Source organism: Homo sapiens, chromosome 4, assembly GCF_000001405.40.
Source record: "Homo sapiens chromosome 4, GRCh38.p14 Primary Assembly".
NCBI classification, from domain to species: domain Eukaryota; kingdom Metazoa; phylum Chordata; class Mammalia; order Primates; family Hominidae; genus Homo; species Homo sapiens.
Window position 1 is genome coordinate 150,360,505 of NC_000004.12, and position 25,044 is coordinate 150,385,548.

The window sequence follows — 25,044 nt, forward strand, 5'->3', positions numbered from 1 at the left end:
CAACCACATGTGACTAGTGGTTATCAACTGGACGGTGAGGCTTTATTCAGTTCCAAATACTGAATCTGCATCCAGATTTTGATACAAGACAGAATGCAGGAGTTAACAATACTTAACACTTTTAAAATACACCTTATCTTACTGAAAATAAAGATAAACCTTACAAAGTACGAAGTAACTGCCAGACTAAAATGACCTTCAATGCAGTTTTGAAGAGGCCATTACAATTCTCAGTGCCGTGAAGAATGGCTACACCTTAGGAAATGACAGCAGAAATGTAACATCTTCAAGTGTGAAACAGACATAATGTCCTACAGTGTATATTCTTCAGCCATTTATAGATCTCTGAGGAAATGTGGCAGCATCTGAAAGACGGCATTATGACTATCCTCTAAATAATAAAGGTAAAAGGGCTAATTCTACCAACTATGCTGTAATCTATAAACTTTCCATCCTTAAAGGTCCTTAGTTAGAGTTCTTAAATTTTGGCTACTCAGCTCTATCAGTTATGTACTTTAAGAATTACCATATAGCCATAGACCACAACTTAGTATAGGGGACATAATCTTTGCTGAAAGTCAGATATATGACATCTGTAATGTGTATGTATTCACAAAACTCATAAAAGACACTTCATTTTAGTAGCAGATAACGAGTCTCTGTCTACTCCTAGAGATTTTTTAACATCTACAATAACATTCTGATTCCCAAAATTTTGGGTCTGACTCTTTCTGCATTTTCGATTAAATAATGATTAGTTAATAGGGTCAGTCTTTTAAAATTATTTTTAAGTAGCCATGAATACATATGCAATATGAGGTCAACAATAGAGACTTCTTGCAAGAGTTAAATACATTTCTTATTTATGTTTCCTTACCTCCCTTTCACTTCTTAACTAGTTTCTCCTCTTTCTGTTACAGGCACACCACTGAAAATGTTTTTGCAAAGATTACTAACTGTCTGAATCCAGTGTATGCTCATCTTTTCTCATTTCACCTCTGCATTATGGTGTTTGTTTCTCTTTCTTCTTCTCGCTTGACACTCTCTCTCCAGATTCTCTTTCTACATTTCTGATTTTCCTATTCATTTTCTTAATATAGGGTCTTTTTCCTCTAACATTTCAGCATTTATTCTCCTCAAGATTCAGTCCCAGGCCCTCTGCCTCTGGTATAACCCAGGCTAGATGAGCCACACTTCAATTACTTCAACCAACAATTACTACCTCTCTGGAGCTTCAAATACAAAATGCCAACTGCCCATCATACTACTTTTTTTTTTTTTTTTGAGACGGAGTCTCACTCTGTCGCCCAGGCTGGAGTGCAGTGGCGTGATCTCAGCTCACTGCAAGCTCCGCCTCCCGGGTTCATGCCCATTCTCCTGCCTCAGTTTCCTGAGTAGCTGGGACTATAGGCACCCGCCACCACGCCTGGCTAATCTTTTGTATTTTTTAGTAGAGACGGGGTTTCACCATGTTAGCCAGGATGGTCTCGATCTCCTGACCTCATGATCTGCCCGCCTCGGCCTCCCAAAGTGCTGGGATTACAGGCATGAGCCACCGCGCCTCGCCCATCACACTACTTTTTTTGGTGTGCTTCACATAACTCAAAATTAATATATCAAAAACCAAATGAATAGTATTTCCTCTGACACTTGCTCCTTTTCTTGTCTTTCTGGTGAGGGACTAGGTCCTTCATCTAGTCAGCCAATTCAGAAATGTGGCAGTCATCTTGACTTCTCCTTTCCCCTCTCCCTACAAAATTTTATCAGACAATAAGCCTCCTAAATATCTTCCCAAGTCATTCTTTCTTTTCCTTTCACTGGGACTACCTTTGGTTTCATGCTTCATGATTTCTTTGTTCAGTTATTCTATCGGTATCCAAACTGTTTCTTTATCTCTAAAATTTCCCTTTTCAATCCCTCCTCCATATGAACTGCTATCTAAAACCTAGCCAAGTCACTGCTCTCCTTAAAACTTTTCTCCTTTCCCTAAAGCAGTGGATCTCCAACTTTAACACACACCAAAATTAGCTGGAGAACTTGTTAAAACAGGCTCCAATCCACAGTCTCTGTTTCAGTAGATCAGGGGCAGAGTCCAAGAATTTGCCCTTATAACAAGATCTCAGGTGATACTGATGCTGCTGGTCCAGGAACTCCTTTTGGCCACCACCTCCCCAAAGAAAAAAGTCCATACTATTTACGAGGCATTAAAGATTTATCGTACAATCTGCCTCCAGCCATATATTTCCATACACACCACCCACAGTTCTCTCAAACACATACTTCAGTCTACCATCTGAATTAAGTTTAGCTCATGTGGCTGCATGCAGTGGCTCATGCCTGTATTCCCAGCACACTGGGAGGCTGAGGTAGGTGGATCACTTGAACCCAGCAGCTTGAGATCAGCCTGGCAGCCTGGCAGCCTGGGCAACATGATGAATCCCCATCTCTACTGAAAATACAAAAAAATAAAAAATAAAAAATAGCAAGGCATGGTAGAGTGCTTGTAGTCCCAGCTACTTGGGAGGCTCATGTGGGAGGATCACTTGAGCCTGAGCAGTTGAGGCTGCAGTGAGGTGTGATTGTGCCACTGTATGCCGGCCTGGGTGACAGAGAGAGACCTTGTCTCAAAAAACAAAGCAAAACAAAACAAAAAACAGTTTAGCTCATGTACAGTACTATAACCTTGATATCTTTGTTCACAGCGCTTCTTATATCTGTAATGTCCATTCCATCATCTTACTCCCTGCCTGGCAAACCCCTATTCATTCTCAAAGACTAAGGTTACATATGGGTTCCTTGGCTAAGCCTTCCTCAACCTTCCCCAGAAACAGAACAAGGCATTTCCTCTTTTGGTCCCAGAATATATATTTATTCTCTCTCTTTCTCTCTTTGTGTCTCTCTCTACACATAATGTTAAATGCTTTCATGGTAATCTTGCTACTCCTTCATGGTATATATACAAGTATATTTATTATATTACATGTTATCACAAGTTATATATTTGTTTACTTTTTTATTTATTATCTATTTCCCTTACAAAACAATAAATTCCAAAAGGGCAGGTACTATATACCATCTTTCTCACTGCTGTATAACCAGTATGTAGTAGGTACTCACAAAATATTTGTAGAATGAATGACTATATCGCTTAATCTATTTCTCTAATTAGTTACTGTCATGTCTGTCTGCTTCTCATAATGGCAGCCCCAAAGGGCAGGTGTCACAGTCTTCCAATTTTGTGATCACAGATCTAATTATCCAGTAGGCCCCTAATACATGTCTGTTGAATGAATGAATGGCATTTAAGAAATTCTTCTGATTTACCGCAATTCAATGTCTATGCTGAGGGACTAGATCTTAAAGCACTGTTTAAGAAGCGTGAAATTGACCATAGCCACTTTACTTGGTTGATACAGTGCTGGTTTGGCAGAGTTATAGAAAATTTGAAAAATTTCTGTGATTACTAGCCACTGCAAAATGAGCTGTCTGCAGTTTGTTAACCATACAATCAAATTTGAGGTAGAATGATTACATGGGAAGGAAAAAAAAGTGAAGTGGATATTAAAGTATCATCTTTCAAGGTTTTATTTTCTCTTCAATAGTGTCCAGAAGACAGATGCAAATGATATCCCTAATACACTTGACAAAAGCTCAAGAAAGTCAGTATGTTATGCAAAGAAAATGCATCTAGAGGTCAACTTGGGGGAAATGCACTGTCCAACTAAACAACCACCACCACACTATAACAATACCAGCAGCATTTAACATTTAGTGAGTATTTATGCTGTGCCCAGCTTTATGCTAAATGTTTTACATGGACTATTTTATTTAATCCTTACAATAATCCTATAAGCACCACATTTTTAAAAACTGTTTTACAAATGAAGCTAAGAATGCTTAAGCAAATTGTCTGATGTCACAGCTAGTAAATGTCAGAGTTGTGACCTGAACCCAGATTTCTCTGACTCCTAAAGCCATATTAACCACAACACATCCTTTTGAACCAAAGCTGCAATATGAAAACTCTAAAAATATGAAACCACTACATAACATGGATTACTTTTCATTGGTTTCACATATATCATTTAGAAATACTAGTAACAAGTATTGCTGAGTATATACTAAATCTGGTGTGCCATGTTGATCTGGAGGCTTTATTTACAGGTTTTACTGTTCTTTCAACTGGTTTTTTGCTTTGACACATGCATTTTTAAAACCAATACTTTCAACTTGTATTACAGCTTATTTTTCTCTTTTATTAACTGGAATGTAAGCTCCTAGAAGGTATAGATTATACCTGTATTCTTGGAACTGAGCATATAGTAGATGCCCAATAAATATTTATTGAGCTGGATAAGAAATTTATATTCTAGGCCTCTTTTTCATTAATGTAACCATATATTCACTATAATATTTTATATCATAATAAAATATCATAAAAATGTATATCATAAATATATATCATAATATATATACACACACAGAGAGAAAGTGTGTGTGTGTGTGAGAGAGAGAGAAAGAGAGAGACAGGGTGTCACTTTGTTACTCTGGCTGGAGTGCAGTGGTGTGAACACAGCTCACTGCAGCCTCGACCTCCTGAGCTCAAGTGATCATCTGGCTTCAGCCTCCCAAGTAGCTGGACTACAAGCATGCCACCACACCCGGCGAATTTTTTTATGTTTTGTAGAGACAGAGTTTCACCATGTTGCCCAGGCTGGTCTCGAACTCCTGGACTCAAGCAATCTGCCTGCCTTGGCCTCCCAAAGAGATGGGATTACAGGAGTGAGCAACTGCACCCGGCCTCATTATGATATTTTAAAAATAAACAGCCTTTAGAGCAAGACAGAGAATGATACCAATATATTAGTTGCTAAGTCCAAAGACTCTTAATAAATAACCAATCCATTAAACAAAAAAACTATTTTAGGAATAGTTAATAATAGGAGTTCATTCTGCAAATTTCTAAACGTCCATGACATTAGCAACTTATGAAAATGTGATTTTAGGCTGGGCACGGTGGCTCACGCCTGTAATCTCAACATTTTGGGAGGTCAAGATGGACAGATCACCTGAGGTCAAGAGTTCGAGACCAGCCTGACCAACATGGAGAAACCCCATCTCTACTAAAAATACAAAATTAGCTGGGCATGGTGGTGCATGACTGTAATCCCAGCTACTCAGGAGGCTGAGGCAAGAGAATCTCTTGAACCAGGGAGACAGAGGTTGTGGTGAGCTGAGATCCCACCATTGCACTCCAGCCTGGGTAACAAGAGTGAAACTCTGTCTCAAAAAAAAAAAAAAAAAAAAAGTGATTTCATGTATTTTAATTTCTATATTTTGACACATGAACTATTTGATTTCCTTAAATCAAACTACTATGCAGAAATAACAGAGAAAATTTCTGTTATTTCCTACTTAAACATTTTCATGTAACTACCCGATTGGTTCTACGTTTCTGTTAATATTTGGAAAATACCTTAAATACTTCCACGTAATAACACTGCTCAAACTATTCAAAATATTGATTAGATTTTTTTATTTTAAAAAATGTATAGCACAAACATTATTTGTTTTTGTGATTTTAATATCTCTTAAATGTACCATTTGACAAATGCTTTTAAATTAAAATACTATAACTGATAAGAAAAAACAGTCTCAAAGAATAAGGCTGTTTTGAGATTTTTTTTAAGCCTTTCAGACAACCCCTATGATAGCTGGTAAGACATATTAGAATACTATAAAATATGAGTTAGAATCACTATCTTTATTAGATTAGGAGAACTGAATAAAGGACATAACTGTATTCACTCTGAGGCTACTATTTTCCTCCTTTGTTCTTCAAAAATATAACTCTTTTTGTAGAATGTCTACCACTGTAGTTAAATTCAACTCATAGGATGCAGTTATAGGTCAGAATCTAGCAAAATATATTAGAAGCAATCTAAGCATTTAAATTTTTCTTAAATATGAGGTGAAAAGACAAACAGCATGGCAAGAGTTAATTGAAACATTCCTGTTTGAGAGACTGCATGGAGGAGTGGGGGCTGGTGGACAGTGAGAGGAGGGAGCTAGGCCGAGAGATGCAGAGTTAATCAGGGAGCAAATCCAAAGCCAGGCATGGATAGGCCTCACTAATGAGCCTCAAGTACCCTGCAGTGGTTTTCAAACTTAACTGGCTTCAAACGATGCCACCCCATGACAGAATGCAGCTAGCCATAAGAGGAGGGTGATTAGAATAAATGACTGGAGTAATTAACTCTGATGTGAAACCACCTGATTGGAAAAGAGAAGCCAAGAGCTATTTAGCTGATGGTCCTCCAGTAGAAAAAGGAAGCTTTCCCTTTCTCTTGTGTGGGTGTTCAGTTAGAACTCAACTCTTTCAAGTAGGTATTTGGTAGCACTAATGAAAAGCAGCTTTCATTCAAGGGCCTCTCAAGGGCCTTCCCATTCATTTTGAAAGGGGAAGAAAATAAAAGCTTCAAAGTAGAACTAATTTACTTTACTCCCCTACCTCTTAGTGAATTTTGCATTAGTGAAGTCTGCATTAGTATTTATGCTAACAAATTTACCTCCAAATAACGTCATCAAATACTAAAAATTTTATTTATAGAATAACTAGATATTAAGGCTAATTAAAATTTTTTAAATTTTCCTTTCTTTAAAAGTGTTTTAGAAAACTAAACTTATAATTTATAATTAATTGTTGATTAGTTACAGCACTTCCTTTACTCTAGAATGAGGGAGAAGTAAAACATAAATGGGGTACATCTGTTTTTGAAGAGAAACCAGAGAATAAGGTGGAGGTAAGGAAAGAAAGAACACATATTTTTGCAAAAAGACAGTTTTCTTACAGTGCAAATTGAGCCAAAGAATCCACCACACTCTCTGGCCTGCTTTATTTTATAAAAAGAGGAATTACAAAGACTTGGGGCATTACTGCCTGCTGTTTTACAAGTAATCATCAATTCATTGGGCCAATGTTGTTCTGTACCTGCTGAGTTAATGTTCCTCGGCACACCCCTCCCCCAAAAACAGGTTCACAAGCTGCCCAGTAACAACTACAGCGTAAGTAGCACATGTAACTTAGCAAATGTTTATGCCGAAACTCGGATTTATTTGACAGCTTTACACCTTTGGGCATGATATAATTAAATGTTTTGACAGCTAAACAAAAACTGTATAAATTTAAAAGCTATTAGGAGCTCAGCATCTAGAATCAAAATGAAGTAATTTGCTTATACCCTAAGCTACTTTTAGTAATGCATTCCAATAAAAAGCATGAAGAAAGGGATAAATGTCTATCCGAATGTTTTAGCTAATTCGTTCATATTCTTCTATGAAGAATATTCTCCTTATACTGATAATAAATGGCATCTTAAAAAGGCAACATAAACGCATTTAAGATTGTCAATATAATCCCTAAACTCTATCTCTGGATATTTTCTGTAACTTTAGAAATGGTAATATTAAAAAGACATAGACTAAGAAATAGTATATTACTGTATTTTTAAAAGGCCACCATGTGCTATAAAAAAGGATTGAAAGCAACACAGGGACAGTGAGGTATCCTTCAAACTCAGCCATTAATAACTCAAGGGGGTTAATCCTCATTCTCTCAAGGTGCCGGTTCCAGATTTTCACAATATGCTATGCTGCTGTAGTCCTCCGAGATTTCAGTGCTCACTTCATAATACCCCCAATTCACAGTTTACCTTCGGAGAAAACTACTGTTCATTATCTGAGCTCCAGAAAATGTTCCCATCAGTGGTACTACTTTAACACAAGATTTAAAAACTCAGATACTTCCTTAAAAAGGAAAAAAAAATACTATAAAGCAAAATTGTCCATTAAACTACAATTTTTTAGAAAATGAAAGGTTGTTTTATACCCACCATATGGCATCACATTATCACTCTGGACAGCACATACAGAGTACTGGCTAACAGTCTAACAAAAGTTAAATTTAAACAGCATCTAAGTTAGAACATTACTGAAGCATTTTCAGGCTATGTATATACAAAAACATTTAAAATTTACTTTTCATTATGTAACAATCTAAGGAATACTGTATCTTCACTAAAGGTAACAACGATCAGTTGTTTATTTAAAAAAACAAATCACTAAAATGTTTGAAAACCAGTCCACTTTTCATGTGGATGTTTATATTTCACTTAATCATCCTTCTTGGAAAGACAGCTCTAAAGGAAGAAAATACTGAGAACCAAATCCTGTTTAACTTACACAAGGTGATGTCAAGTAATTTAAAAAACATATTCTAAAAAGAGCTTCTTCTGTACACATCTAAAGACATTACTGCATTATCTAATTGTTCTCTTCCTCTCACTCATGTTAACAGGATAGATGTCTTTTTGTGTACCATATTTGGTTTCACTGGCACATAGCCTGAAAACAGATTAAACTGTTTGGAGTGTTCAAATATCTGATGGTGTATGGACTGTGGGAATAAGAGACTGGAGACTCAGAAGCTGATAGTTCCCAAACAGCTATTTTCCTTCTTTCTTTTTTAAAAATAAATGAACCTTGAGTCAGATTAATTAAACACTGGTTATAAGACTCAATATTCCTAGTAGATAAATAGATGTTTGAAGACTTAGTCAATTTCAGGCCCAAAAGTAAGTATTACTAGGTGTAAAATTTGTTTAAAAGATGTCATTAAAATATTACATATTAAGGTGGTCCTCTTAATATAATCTTGATGTCTTTTAACTATCTCATTCTTTCTCTTCTCCATGGACATCATGTTTTGCAAAATGTTATCAAATAATCAAATGTTATAAAATAATCTCACAAAGATGCATATATCTGCCAGACCTTCTGATTAGGAGATAACCAGTGGTGCTAACCTGATATAATTTAGCTGAAAGCACAAGAAGGTTGAATTTAACCCAGGTTGCCTTTTTATAGGTAAATGTACTATGTTCAGAATGCTTAGAAATTGCTGTGGTGGCTCTAATGGTTCAACAACCTTTGGCTGAGACCCACTGAACACATACAAACATATGATGCCTAAAAAAATATACTTTTTTTTTTTAGACCAAACACCTTTGTTTCAGGTACTGCTAAGAAATATAAGAGCTGCAAAATAATTATAACAAAATGCTTACTTATGCAGAATTTTAACTTTAGATTCATTGAAAGAACTATCAAACTTTTTGACAGATTTTGCTAAGTATTGTACGTATATAAAAAAGAAAATATAAATGAAATATTTGTAAAATGTTTGAGAGTCTACCTCTTCTGAAATGCTTCCTGATTCAAAGGTGTTGATTTCTGTGTTTCTCCATATAGTACTGTCCTCCATGCCTTTATAAGAGCATTAGTGAGGCAGCATTTTTTAAAGAGTCCTCCATTATTACATTTGAACTTTTCTTCCAAGTATCATACTACAAATTATGATGCTGACATGTTCTTGATCTTTTTGACAGCCTTGTACACGTGCCTTAGGGCTCCCAGTGCTTTCTTCATGACTGCTCAATTTCTAGCCTCTTCTAGTTTAACTATGATACTTCTATCTCAACGCCTCCACTGTGATAACTCTATCTTAAAACTTACCAAAATACATTAAGAAATAATGTTTTGTGGAGTGGAAGACAGTTTGGCAGTTTCTTACAAAACTAAACATTCTCTTACCATATGATCTAGCAGTTGCACTCTTTGGTACTTACCCAAATGAGAGGAAAATTTATGCTCACACAAAATCCTTAACATAAATGCTTACAGAAGTTTTATTCACAATTGCCAAAAGTTGGAAACAACCAAGATATATTTTAGTAGGTGAATGGATAAACAAACTATGGTCCATCCATACAATGGAATATTATTCCAAAATAAAAAGAAATGAGCTATCAAGTCACACAAAGACATAGAGGAATCTTAAATGCATGCTACTAAATGAAAGAAGCCAATCTGAAAAGGTTACATACTATATGATTCCAACTATATGATACATTGGAAAAGGCAAAACTATGGGGACTATAAAAAGATCAGTGGTTGCCAGGAGTGGAGGAGGAAGGGGGAATGAATAGGTGGAGCATAAGGAATTTTTAGGACAGTAAAACTATTCTGTATGGTACTATACATTTGTCAAAACCTACAGGAAGTCTAACATAAAAGTGAACCCTAATATAAACCAAAGACTTTAGTTAATAATAATGTATTGATATTGGCTCATCAGTTATAACACAGTAAGTGTACCACACTAATGCAAGATGTTAATAATATGGTGTACTGAGATGAGGAATAGTAAGAGGTATATATGAGAACTCTCTAAAGGTTCTGCTCAAATTTTCTGTAAGACTAAAACTGCTCCAAAAAATAAAACTGATAATTTTTTAAAACATGATGTTTATATTTTTCTCCTCTTCTTTGTCTTCCAAAGAATATCTCATGCCTAAGAAAGTTGCTGGCACATATTATGGGTTTCAATTGCTACTTTCTAAAGCGAAAGGAGTATGGAACCCAAAAGAAGGATCTCAAACCCTTCATTCCCACCAAATGTGCCACGGCCTACAGAGAAAGAAGCATTAATTAACACATTTAATTAATTAAACTCACACTTTTCATATCACGTATATGAACATGTTCTAGTATCAATATTAATATATAATCTATCTCCTTTTCATAGTAGGTTGAAAAGCATGAGCTGCAAGCTACTAAATTTTTTTTTTTTTTTTTTTTTTTTTTTGGAGACAGAGTCTCACTCTGTCACCCAGCCTGCAGTGCAGTGGCGTGATCCCGGCTCACTCCAACCCCTGTCTCCTGGGTTCAAGCGATTCTCCTGACTCAGCCTCCTGAGTAGCTGGGATTACAGTCGCCCGCCACCACACCTGGCTAATTTTTGTATTTTTAGTAAAGATGGGGTTTCACCATGTTGGCCAGGCTGGTCTCAAACTCCTGACCTCAGGTGATCTGCCTGCCTCGGTCTCCAAAGTGTCAGATTACAGGCACAAGCCACCGCGCCTGGCCGCAAGCTACTATTTATCTAATATTTATATCTCTTATTATGTTCAGGGTACTCTGGCTGTGTCCTGTGGGATAAAGACAAATGAGGCATTCTATACTTGCCCTGGAGGAACTCCAGTCTAATGGAGACACAGGAAAACAAGTATGTCCAAAGGTACATGGAAAGCAGAGAGCTGAGAACATAAAACAAGCTTAAGCAATATTATATAACTTATTTTATAAATATATAATATTAAATAATGCTATTTTCTATATTTGTTAGGTAAAAATGTGACTCACATGAATTAACACTCAAGATACCATAAAGCTTAAAGTTTTAAATGCTGTCTATATTCCTATCCTAAAAATATTTCCTCAAATTATCCTTAAACAAATTATGAACTGCCTTTATGAAGCATATTTCATTTTCTTCAATTATTTCAGCCTTTGGTTCATAGTCCTATTCCTTGTCATCATTCTTGATAGCTTCAGCATTTCATCTAATGGTTCTTCTCTGGAAGCCTTCCTTTTCTACTCATTTTAGCCACTTTTAAGCATTAATGTACCTTTGATTTAATAAGCCATGTGATTCAAGTCTGCATGAACCATTATCTCTTATTCTATCAGTTAATTTTTCTGTCAGATGCTCGTTATGCTAACTTCTTGTGACTCCTTTTAGTTCTTAAATTACAAAGATAATACAATAAAAACAACCAGTAAGTGTTTGCTTACTATTTATTTGAGTACTGTGATAATTTCTATAAATAATATCAATTAATTCTCAATTTTATGTCTCCAAAGTAGGTGCACCAAACCACTACACCGTATTTTATTTCTGTATAAAATATTATTGAAAATGTTGGCTGGGCATGGTGACGCATGCCTGTAATCCCAGCAATTTGAGAGGCTGAGGTGGGAGGATCACTTAAGCCCAGGAGTTCAAGACCAGCCTGAGCAACATGGCGAAACACCCTCTCTACAAAAATTAGCTGTATGTAGTGGCACACGCTTGTGGTTCCAGCTAGTAGGGAGGCTGTGAGCCCAGACCATGCCACTGCACTCCAGCCTGGGTGACAGAGCAAGATCCCATCTCCAAAAAAAAAAAAAAAAAGGAAAGGAAAAGAAAAAAAATCCAAAAGATCTGGAGTCATAGCCTGGGTAAAATGGTTTTGAAATCTTGGGCAATACTTAACTTCTTAAAGCTTCAATTTATTCCTCATTTAAATGTAAAAACAATATGTTCCTTATAAAATATCCTTATTATTAAATTATATGCCTGGTACGCAGTAAGTTCTTACTAGATATTAGTTCTCCTCCTGTGATGGCCAGCCTCCAAGATGGCCCTTGATGATTTTCATCTCCTATACTAAGTACAGCTGACCTGTGTAAGCAATAAGATAGTGCAGAGGTGACAGTGGGAGTTCGAAGACTAGTCATAAAAGATATTGTGGCTTCCCTCCTCCTCTCTTTTGAATCATTTGATCTGAGAAATGCTCCATATGGTGAGGATACTCAAGCAATCCTATGGAGAGTGTCATGTGGAACTGAGGCCTCCTGCCAACATGTCAACAATGCGAGACATTTTGGAAGCAGATATTCCACCCTCGGTCATACATTCAGATGACTGCAGCCTCAGCAAACAGCTTGACTACAATCTCGTGTGTGTGTGTGTGTGTGTGTGTGTGTGTGTGTGTGTGTGTGTGTGTGAGAGAGAGAGAGAGAGAGAGAGAGAGAGACTATGACCCAGAGCCACCTAGCTAAGCCACTCTCAAATTTCTTACTCAAAGAGACTATGAGAAAAAAAAAAGAAATGTTTATTGTTGTTCTAGCTGTTGTATTTTTGAGTAATTTATTACATAGCAACAAACAACCAATACAACTCCTGGTCCATATTTTTCTCAGACCTGCTTTACCTGTTTGAACCCACACTGAACCACATGGTGGTTATTTTCAACTAGGTTTTTAAGATGTAACCTAGACTCTCATCAACTTGACTGCTCTCCATACCTACTTTGTTAATCCCTAATCTTGGTGAATCCCATGATCTAATTTTCTGGCTTCTACATATGGGCTGCCATAATTTGTTAGAGAAAAATCAAAACATATACTAATAATTTTACTATAAATCCAAGCTATCTTCAGCTGACCCTCAAAATACTCACTATTTTTGTGTTTCTAGTTCACTAACATCATATTTCCTTCAGTAGCTGCCCTCAATTACACAGCTGCCACACTTTCCTTCTCAGAAGAGTATCTGGCTGGCCTTTGACTTCAAAATGAGGACATCATTAAATTTTTCTTGATTTTTTTCTTCTCCATTGCATAATGTTTATATTTCAACCTTACCTCTCCTCTTTTCCCTGTGTTTGGAGTAGAAAGTGTTATCCACTTTCTATATTAATTCAGTGCCCTCATACCATCTAAAAATATGCTATGTACTGGTTTTCAGTTTCTCCCCTTCTAAGATATTCCTTTTCTGAGACTATTATCTGCTCCAGATTCTGCTACCTAAAAAGAATTTATTCTTTAACTCCACTAACATCCCAGAATCACCTCTTCTTTCATGGACACCATACTTCTCAAAAGCCACGTTCACCCACTCTGTAATCTTCACTCCTTCACTCAATTCCTTGAAATCTAGATTTTACCACAAACACTCCATGAAAACTTCCAATACTCTCCCTTTTATGTACGGATGAAACGTTTCTCCCTCTATGAGAGTGAACTATTGTGGCAGAGACTGCTGTTTTTTATCTGCTAACCACTCCTTATTTTCTTTAATAATAAAAATTTCACTTAGCCAGAGACACATTTCCTTGTCTCCCTTATAACCTGATAAGGCCATGTGCTCAAGTTATGGCTAATGAGATATAAACAGAAGTAATGTGTTCCACTTCCAGTTGCTCATCTCAAAAGGAATGGGCATAGTTCCTTTCCTTCTTCTTACTGGCTATGAAGTAGACCCACCTTGAACCCAGAGATGGGAGTCACATGTTATAGCTGGAAGATTCATTCTCAGCTTCAGACTCCTGCTCTCTGTACTATTACATGAGAGAAAAACGAGAAGATATAAATGATACTGCAGGTTGGGCATACCTAATCCAAAAATTCAAAATACGAAATGCTCCAAAGTCTGAAATTTTTTTGATCACCAACATGATGCTAAAAGGAAATGCTTATTGAAGAATTTCAGATTTCAGATTTTTGAATTAGGGATGCTCAACCGTAAGTATAGTGCAAATATTCCAAAATGTAAAGGAAATCCAAAACCTGAAATACTTCTGGTCCCAAGCATTTCAGGTAAGGGATACTCAACTGGTACATATAACATATCAAAAGTGTATAATTCTTAAGTATGTGAATGAGAAATAGTAAGACTCCAAAATACAGTTGCTTAAACATCCGAAAGAATAGCTTAGCCTGAACCATAACTAATATACTCAGTGTACGGTCAGGGTCCTAGCAGGAAACAGAAGACATAATCAGATGAAAATCTGAAGATAATTTAATAAAGGTTCTATTCACAAAAAGCATCAAGGGAACCAACAAACTATTTTGAGAAACCTGCAGGCTTGTAACAACAAGAGGGCATATAACCCATAAGCCTGTAAGAGTAAGGGGGGGAATTAGTATTACTGAAGCTCGTTGAGTGCTAAAGCTATAGAAGGGAGGCTGTCTGGCTGTAGCTGTAGCTTTAACTATTGCTGTAGAGGGCCTACAGCCCTGAAGCAGGCAGGAAGCGGGAGCAAGAAAAAATGTGACCCCGTTCTCCTCCTGCAGTCCTGTCTCCTGTTTTTCATAGTGATCAGCCCTACAAGGCATAAGGGGGACAGAAGGGAGTTGTGGGTAATGACCTGGGGGGTAATGCTGGAGGATAATCAGAACACCTATTAATAAATTAAAAGTGTATTATTACATCAGGATTGGCTACTTTTGACCACGCTGAAGCATATTTTTAACCATCCAATTCCTCTTGAAACAGTCTCTCTACTTACTTTTTTTTTGTTTTGAGATGGAGTCTCACTATGTCACCTAGGCTGGAATGCAGTGGCATGATGTCGGCTCACTGCAAACTCCGCCTCCCGAGTTCAAGTGGATTCTCCTGCCTCAGCCTCCCGAGTAGCTGGGATTACAGGTGCGCACCACCACACCTGTATTTTTTTTTTTTTTGAATTTTTAGTAGAGACGGGATTTCACCATGTTGGCCTCAATCTCCTGACCTCGTGATCCGCTTTGGCCTCACAAAGTGCTGGGATTACAGGTGTGAGCCACCAAGCCCAGCCTCTACTTACTACTTAACACTAATGCACTCTTCTATCACTGCTCCTGATACCATTTTATAGGTTCCTCTTTCTCTTCTTGTTTTCTGAAAGAAAACTATTTCCCAGGGCTCTGTTTTTGGATTTTTGGGCTCTATGTGGTATTGCAGGGTGAAGTCATAAACCCTCTATCTTCGACCATCACTCACTATAGATAAGCACCAAATCTCCATCTCTAACACTGATCTCTCCCCTGGAGCTAGATCAAAGGTTGCATATTTAAGTATCTATGGAATCCAGATAGGTAAAAATAATTAATTAGGCAAACAATATAACACATTAGAGAGAGAGAAGGGCTGCAGAAATCTAGAAAGATATGCCTACCTATATCTACAGGGGTGGCTATTGCTGAGTTCCAGTTGATTTTACTATGAAGTAATGCAACCCCCACACTGTGTCTAACTTTTAAAGAAAGGCTAGAAATACAGATTTGGAAGAAGGAAAGGTGTCCTTATTTTACTTTTTTTTTATGGCAACTCCTTTTATTAAAATATTAGGTAGTTTATCTCAGAAATAAAATTGAAATCCCTATAACTAAAAACACTCAGCAGTGATGAATAAAACAAAAATGTTTTTAGGTCGGCACAAAATTGTGGTTTTCGCCTAAATAAAATAAAACCTTTTGATTTTGAAATAAGTTTAGACTTCCAGAAGAAATACAAAAATAGTAAAAGAGTTCAAGTATATACCCTTCACTCAGCTTCCCCTAATGTTAGCAACTTATATAATCAAAGAAATATTAGCAAAACCAGAAAATATGTACTAAACCATGGTTGTAATGTGTAACCAGCTTTTCTCCAATATCCTTTTTCTATCGGAGGACCCAACCCAGAATCCCACACTGCATTTAGTTGTTGTGTCTATCAATTACAAAGGAAAAAAAATAACAAATAAGTTTTTAAATGAACACTGTGTTAGAAAGAAAACAGCAAAAGAAATCCCCAGGAGCTATAAACAAACAAACAATTGTACTACAGAGTGGTAAAGATAACCCCGGGTGTTTTTGTTTTGTTTTGTTTTTTCTTTTCTTAGTCAAAGTCAGCTAGGAGTTTGTTTTTAATGCCCATATGGAAAAAGTAGATGAGACCTTGGCTCCTCTTTTAGGTTGGTGGAAGTGAAATTTCCCTATATATAAACCTGGGACCCTCAAAGAAACCATGCCCACAGGGAAAAGGTCGGGGTGGGAGTGAGGGGAATCTACCTACCAGTCAGGACTTAAGAAAAAGAGGCTGGGTGTGGTGACTCATGCCTGTAATCCTACTACTTTGGAGGCCAAGGTCGGGGATAACCTGAGTCCAGGAGTTCAAGACCAGCCTGAGCAACATGGCAAGATCCCATCTCCATAAAAATAATGGAAAAAAAAAAAAAAAAGAAGCTCTTAGTCTTGACTTGGGCTTAGGATAGGAAAACTTCCCCTAGGAATTCATATCCACAGGTCTGTCCCTTATATAGATTTAGGATTTAAAAGTATAAGCAAGTAGTCTAAAATCTACACAGAAACTGGACCTAGGCTTTCAAACATGGAAGAGGCAAAAGCAAAAACACTCTGGAGAAGCAACTGTATTCGTTTATGCAATGCTTTGCACATGAAAACCTGGATCTGTGATTAAGCATTTAAGGTAACACTCATAAAACTATATCATTTGCAGTAAACATGTCTACCAAGTAAATTAAAGGACCCTTATACTATGCAGCAGCTAAAGCAAAGTAGGATTTGATTAAAAGTCCTTAGAAATGGAGGACTGTTTTAATTCTAGAAGTGGGGGAGGAGAAACTCATACCCTTTAACTGACTACTACAAGTCTTTCTAAGAACTCCAGCTTTCCATAAGACATGTACCCACTTAGGAGATCATAGGTCAGGTTTTATAATATACTTTATAATTAATATAAAAAATTAACCATGATTATAAATCAATGCCTCATTTATAGGAGCCTGGAGTCTATCATACTTGTTTTAAATGTTTTTTATACCAATTTATTTATTTATTTGTTTTGTTTTGTTTTTCTTGCCAACATGGTGAAATCCCATCTCTACTAAAAATACAAAAAATTAGCCAGGCATGGTGGTAGGCACCTGTAATCCCAGCTACTTGGGAGGCTGAGGACCTGGGAAGGGGAGGTTGCAGTGAGCGGAGATCATGCCACTGCACTCCAGCCTGGGGGACAGAGTGAGACTCTGTCTCAAAAAAAAAAAAAAAATGCCTTGTCCTTGTTGGTACCCATACCCATACCAGGTAAACCTATATTTGGTCACTTGATAATCACCTGACTTTGCATGCCTTCTTAAATGTCCCATATCTTGTCATTCTGAATAGCATTCAAAATTATGTTCATCAGACGTAAATAGATATTTTACTAATTAGCATGATCCCTTACTTCTTATGTATAAGTGATTGACAGATAATAGCTGACTACCTGCCAATTTGGTTTTTGTACTCCATTGAGTATAATACCCCTCCTCAAGGTAGGAAATGTTAAGAATTTTTTTTCTCATTTACTGCTGTCTGCTGAACTAGACAGCTATCTCTAAAAGGTACACAATAATAACTGCTGCTTTTCATAAACTGTTTATAGTCATTCACAGCCTCTATTTCTTCTGTACGCAAGTAAATCATGTTTCCAGATGAAAATGAAAAATACTTTTATTAATGGCTTTTATTATTTTTAAAGTGCTATAATTTCAAAGATGTTAATTGTGTAAGGATGTAAATAAATGTAAACTCTCCAGGTCAATTTTCTTAAAAGGAAGTCCAGATACTAAAAACAACTTCAGGATGTAAAATGCTGGGAAACAGCACGAGCAACTCATATGCATCAGAGACGGAATCACATTGTAAGTAAAGGTGTTAGGCTGCTCTGTGGACAGGTAAAGAAGAGCCAAAACAGCTCTGGTAAACAGAACTCATAGCTACCATCCAAAGGTAAGTTAAACATACAGGTAATGTAGAGAAAGCCTGCCATAACCACATGATGAAAGCAAGAGCACAAACAAATGTCTTCAAATCGAATGACAATAATGTTATGACTATGACTAGTATGTACCTTAGCAATCACTCAGGGAACAGAAAAAAAATGATAGATTCAGAATATAAATTCACTAAAATGATTTCTTAGCTATTTTATACTATTATTTATGTAATAATAATTTGTTATATATTCTTACTATTGTATTAATTTACCCATTAATAAAAGACACTAACAATAAGCCACTACATTAAAATAGCAGATCAGGCCAGGCATGGTGGCTCATGCCGCCTGTAATACCAGCACTTTGGGAGGCCAAGGCAGGTGGATCACCTGAGGTCAGGAGATCGAGACCAGCCTGGCCAACATGGTGAAACCCTGCCTCTACTAAAAATACAAAAATTAGCTAGGTGTGGTGGCGGGCACCTGTAATCTCAGCTACTTGGGAGGCTGAGGCCAGAGAATCGTTTGAACCCGGGAGGCAGAGGTTGTAGTGAGCCGAGATCACGCCATCGCACTCCAGCCTGGGCAACAAGAGGGAAACTCTAGCTCAAAAAAAAAAAAAAAAAAAAAAAGCAGATCAGAATTCATCATTAAATTCCTATATACAAAAATTCCATAATTAGAAATATCACCAGCAGATACAAATTTAAATATCAAGTTTGTATTAGAAAAAAAAGAATGCTGGTTGGTTAAAATGGATAGAAGACAGCAATAATGAGTCAGGTTATAGGTTCAATCCCATAGAGCCCAGCTGGGTTCACATTGAGAAAAGTACATTTCATGGTCAAAGACAGGTCCCTGATCTCAGCAAAGGGTCACACATCTATGCTATTAGTTGAAAAGGGAATTATACTGGAGATGGTTCAAAAAACAAAAAACTATCATCATTACAGGAAATAACTCATAGCATACATCCTGATGACAAATGAATAGTGCTATTTTCTTTGTGAATAACATCTTCTGCTGCACTATTACTAACTCTAGGAAGATATGCTGGACTTCTTGGCTTTGTTTTAACACTATCCACATATCATGAAATATTATATTGCCGAGGCAGTATTTATGAAGCCAAATAGAAAGCAAACCATGAACTCCATACATAGGAAAACAACAACAAAGAATTAATGGCTGGGTGCAATGGCTCATGCCTGTAATCCCAGCACTTTGGGACAACGAGGTGAGAGGATCACCTGAGGTCAGGAGTTCAAGACCAGCCTGACCAACATGGAGAAACCCCATTTCTACTACTAAAAAAAAAAAAAAAAAAAAAAAAAATTAGCCAGGTATGGTGGCACACACTTGTAATCCCACCTACTCGGGAGGCTGAGGCAGGAGAATCACTTGAACCCAGGAGGCAGAGGTTGCAGTGAGCCGAGATCACGCCATTGCACTCCAGCCTGGGCAACAAGAGTGAAACTCTGTCTCAAAAAAACAAAACAAAACAAAATAAAAACAAAAAACAATTAATGATCACAACTCTACTCCTCAATGGCGCAGGGTCAACACCAGCATTAGAACAACAGGGATCACTCAACTGTATTCTGAATAATATTTACAAAGCACCTGTGAACTAATTCTTAGCAGTTAAGAATTTTTCTTTCCCCACTATCATTTTCCTCTTGAAATAAAGCAAATTTAAAATATGCCAACTAAGGCAAGAGATTTGAACCCCACCTACATCAGGATCACCTAGGGAGTTATTCCAGGGCTTATTCCAGAAACCACCAGAACCAATTTTAATAAGTATGGTGTAGGGCCCTGGGATCTGCATTTTAAACAAACACTGGAACACTAAAAGTTTGAGATGAGAATTACTGACTAAAAAAAAAAAAATTGCAGTTTATGTAGAATGCACACATTAGCAATATAAAAGGAAAAGAAGATGTCTACTTATTATTTTCTCTTGTTTATTTTTCTAAATTAAGTATATTTTGTTTTAGGCCAGGTGCAGTGGCTCACACCTGTAATCCCAGCACTTTAGGAGGCTGAGGAGGGTGGATTACCTGAGATCAGGAGTTCAAGACCAGCCTGACCAACATGGTGAAACCCCGTCTCTACTAAAAATACAAAAAAAAAAATTAGCCAGGTGAGGTGGCGGGTGCCTGTAATCTCAACTACTTGGGAGGCTGAGGCAGGAGAATCACTTGAACTGGGGAGGCGGGGGTTGCAGTGAGCCAAGATTGCACCATTGCATTCCAGCCTGGGCAACAAGAGCGAAACTCCATCTCAAAAAAAAAAAAAAAAAAAAAAAAAAGTATATTTTGTTTTTAACTTAGAACTATTTAATATTCCTTAGGAAATAGTTCAACAAGCCGAATTTAAGTGGTCTCTCCATAAAGGCACTTACATGATTTACACTTCAAAACTACTGAATTTTTTAAAACCACTTAAATTCCTTCATACAATTTTTGAATTAAAATGACAAGTGTGGCTTCTTTTTCAACATTTAAATATAACTCACATACCACAGAATTCATCCTTTAAAGTGTACAATTCTGTGGTTTTCAGTATTATCACAAAGCTGTGCAAACATCACCATTAAATTCAGAGCCCTTTCATCACACCAAAAAGAAACTCCGTACCTATATGGCACTCACTCCCATTTCCCTCACCCTCACACCCTGACAACCACTAATCTACTCTGTATTTCTATGGATTTGTCTATTCTGGATATTTTGTATAAGTGGAATCATACAATATGTGGCTTTTATGTCTGGATTATTTAACTTAGCATCATGTTTTCATGGTTCATGCTGTAGCATGTCTCACTATTTCACTTCTGTTTATGGCTGAATAATCTTCAGCATATGGATACACCATATTGTGTTAATCCATTATTAATTATTTGGTAGGCATTTGGGTTGTTTCTACTTTTTGGCTACTATGACTAATGCTGCTATAAACATTAATGAATATGTTTTTGTATGGATATGTTTCCAATTATCTTGGATATACATATAACCAAGAGTGGAATTGCTGGGTCACACGGTAACTCAATGTAAAGAATGTGCACCATTTTACATTCCCAAGAGTAATGCCTGAGGGTTACAGTTTTTACATATCTTAACCAATACTTGTTATTGTCTGTCTTTTTGCTAGTGGTTGTGAAGTGGTATCTCACGTGAGGTGGTGTGATTTGCATTTCTCCATGACTACTAATGTTAACATATTTTCACGTGCCTTTTGGCCATTCAGATATCTTCTTGGGAGGAATGTCTATTCAAATCCTTTGCCCAGTTTTTCATTAGACTATTTATCTTCTTATTCTTGAGTTGTAAGAGTCCCTTATATAATCTGCATAGTAGACTCTTACCAAATATATGATTTGCAAATATTTTCTCCCATTCTATGGATTGTCTTTTCACTTTCCAAGTCCAGTTTATTTATTTTTGTTTTTGAGGCTTTGGTACTGTATATAGGAAGCCATTGCCTAATCAGTGTGATTCACTACTTTTATTTTTTACAAAATGAATATTTTAGTAAAAATTGGCTCTAGCCTATCATTAGCAGGAGAGTAGCCTTGCAGTCTTGTTTTGTGTCAATAGAGATTTGCTAGAAAACTGAAACTGAGTAAGAAACCATTCTGGGGCTGGGCACGGTGGCTCATGCCTGTAATCTTAGCACTTTGGGAGGTTAAGGTGGGTGGATCACTTGAGGCTGTGAGTTCAAGACCAGCCTAGCCAACACGGTGAAACCCCATCCTACTAAAAATACAAAAATTAGCTGGGCATGGTGGCACATGCCTGTAGTCGCAGCTACTCAGGAGGCCGAGGCAAGAGAATCGCTTGAGCCTGGGAGGCAGAGGCTGCAGTGAGCTGAGACTGTGCCACTGCACTCCAGCCTGGGTGACAGAGTGAGACTCTGTTTCAAAAAAAAAAAAAAAGAAGACCAGGCTCTGAAAAGTTAGTTTGCAAATATTCACAGGCTTTTTGTGCTTTTTCAAGGCAAACTAAACCAATAGTTTCTAAGGTAGTTATTTAACTAAATTTAAATTAACATAGATCTTCAAAAGCCAAAAGTAGTGAAGAACTTAAACTGGATTGTAAAAAAACATAGAAATAAAAATGAAAAACATGGTCTAAACTACTGACAAAATATTTTTTCAAATTTCTAACACTCATAAGGACAAACAACCTTCTGAGGACAATAACAAATATAGAAATAAATTGCAAAATTTTTGTGGGCTGCTAAAGTGGTGGTAAACAAGTACTGAAATATGCCAAGATTATTTGTTTATAACATTTACTACTTCAGCTTTCATCAGGTTTATGAATATTTATTTGTTTTAAAATATATCCCCAAAAAGATACTTAATAGCCCATTTCAGAACTAGCACATCTTATGGATGATTAACATTAGCAAGGAAGAGTACTGCCTACAGAAATCTGATAGTAGTGCTCAAAGTAGTACTAAGTACACTGTTCTTTAAAAATATGCTTATTAACGTCACCAAAGGAAAGGTTGCTTAAAATATAATTATCAGTTTTTAGTCAATCTTTTCTTTTCTTTTTTGAGACAGTCTCGCTTTGTCACCCAGGCTGGAGTGCAGTGGCGCAATCATGGCTCACTGCAGCCTCAACTTCCCAGGGTCAAGTGATCCTCCCACTTCAGCCTCCCAAGTAGCTGGGACTACAGGTGTGTAGAACCACCATGTCTGGCTAATTTTTTATTTTAATTTCTGTAGAGATGAGGTCTCACTATGTTGCCCAGGCTGGTCTTGAACTTCTGGACTCAAGTGATCCTCCTCCTTGGCCTCCCAAAGTGCTGGGGTTACAGGGGTAAACCACTGCACCCCCAATTTTGTATAGATAACTTAAAAACAAACACACTTTTTTTGAGAACATAAAGTGTTTTAGATAGTATTGGAAGTCTGCCACGCAGGTATCATATCGCTCTTGTGTGACAGGTGTATTTCAGGGAAATGTATATGAATAAGATGTATATAAAAGACCAAGAGCATCACTGTTGTGTCCCCAGTGCTTGTAGTACTGAACAAGCTTAACAAAATGCAAGTAGCAACTGCTAACTTCCTGAGGGCAGAAATTTAAAAAAAGCCTTACGTTAGAACAAGACACTCTCAAAAAGAATGTCTAAATGCTAAAATTGCTAATACCCATCCATCTGCCTCCAGGTGGTGAAAAAGGGGAGTGTGTATAGCATTACAGTCTGGCAGGGGTAATATATGTAGCTTTAAAAGCATATTCAAATTATTATAATATTCTATTGTTTATTGGCTCCTTAATACAAACATTAAGGAACAGTTTTTTTATTTTTATTTTTTATTTATTTATTTATTTATTTTGAGACAGAGTTTTGTTCTTGTTGCCCAGGCTGGAGTGCAATGTGCGATCTCAGCTCACCGCAACCTCCATCTCCCGGGTTCAAGCGATTCTCCTGCCTCAGTCTTCCGAGTAGCTGGGATTACAGGCATGCACCACCATGCCCGGCAAATTTTGTATTTTTAGTAGAGATGGGGTTCCTCCGTGTTGGTTGGACTGGTCTTGAACTCCCGACCTCAGGTGATCCGCCCACCTCAGCTTCCCAAAGTGCTGGGATTACAGGCCTGAGTCACTGAGCCCGGCCCAGTGTGTATTTTTTACATCTATATAAAAGGTTGTGAAACTGATAAATAAAGCCTTCTTTTCTAAAGAGATTTAAATTCAGGACATTTAAGAATGTGAAAAGCAGATCCTCTTCTTTCCTGATCCTCCTTTCTTATGCTCTGCAAAGGAGTAAGAGTGGCTGACTCCTAGTTAAGGTTATGAAACAGCATCTAACTTCTTATGGGCTAATGCTTCCTTTAAACTTAGACCCAGCATTAAACCTCACAAACTAAATAAAAATACCTTCAGGGAATTACGATGAGAAGGGCATTTTGTATCTTTAAAATACAGACCTAATTGTGGAGGTAGAGTAAAACAATATATATTTTGGTTAAATAAGGCTAGAGAAAAAGAATTCACAATTTGTTGGATTTATAAAATACAAACTTTAATTTCTTTTTTTTTTTTCAGAGGAAAGAATTAAGATTAGGGAAATGAGAGGAGGAAGGAGATAAGGGCTTTAAATGATTCTGATCTATAATTATCAGTATGAATTTTTCATGTTTTTCTTTTGCAGACATTTGGAATTGTCCTGTAGATTTTGTTGGCAGTTAATGATCGAGGCCTGCAGAGCACTGTTACTGTTCTTGATCCCCCAATTCATAGGTATAATCTTTATGTCCTAAACTATTGGTCATAAATATTAGTTAGCTAAGAATGCCTAAAAGTTGTTTACAAACCATTACTTGAAAAATGAACAGCCAACATTTATAGCATATTCAGAGAAAGTTAGTTTGAAAAATAACTCAAACTGTGTATTCGAATCATTGTATGTAAAAAAATAAATAAATAAAAATAAAAGTAGCTTTTCTTTTCCTTGTAAAACATTAGCTAGAAAAAGATTTTACTTTTTTCCCACATCACAGATCATCTTGAATGAGCAGGCCTGCATAAAAACGATCTTCACAACTCTTTATGTAAAAGCACAAAAAAAACAAAAACACAAACCTATACACTTTTAATACAAAAAATCTGCATTATAGCCATAAAGGGGCGAATAGACCAGTCATAAAAAATAAACTCGTTTTTTAGTTGATCCAATCTTGAGCAAATGTTTAATTTTAAAATTTACTATTGTTTTATTTTCTATTACAAGTATCTGCCTAATTCTGGGGCATCTGCTATACTAAAAGCAGAAAAAAATCATTTGGGAGATTAAAGAGAGTAAGAGAAAAATAAAAGGAGAGTCAA

General features: G+C 36.8%; 1 protein-coding gene across 11 annotated transcripts in view, besides 2 other annotated features; it reads right to left on the minus strand.

Annotated features, from left to right (window-relative positions):
* Window positions 1-25,044, minus strand: part of LRBA (LPS responsive beige-like anchor protein) — a 751,293-nt gene that overhangs the window by 96,070 nt on the left and 630,179 nt on the right. The window lies entirely within an intron of this gene.
* Window positions 5,885-6,566: an enhancer, noted in NCBI's record as "OCT4-NANOG hESC enhancer chr4:151287541-151288222 (GRCh37/hg19 assembly coordinates)". NCBI's record gives its function as "activates a minimal SCP1, AML or CMV promoter by ChIP-STARR-seq in naive H9 embryonic stem cells {active_cell/tissue: H9 hESC(naive)}" and the evidence as "EXISTENCE:reporter gene assay evidence [ECO:0000049][PMID:30033119]".
* Window positions 6,567-7,247: an enhancer, noted in NCBI's record as "OCT4-NANOG hESC enhancer chr4:151288223-151288903 (GRCh37/hg19 assembly coordinates)". NCBI's record gives its function as "activates a minimal SCP1, AML or CMV promoter by ChIP-STARR-seq in naive and primed H9 embryonic stem cells {active_cell/tissue: H9 hESC(naive and primed)}" and the evidence as "EXISTENCE:reporter gene assay evidence [ECO:0000049][PMID:30033119]".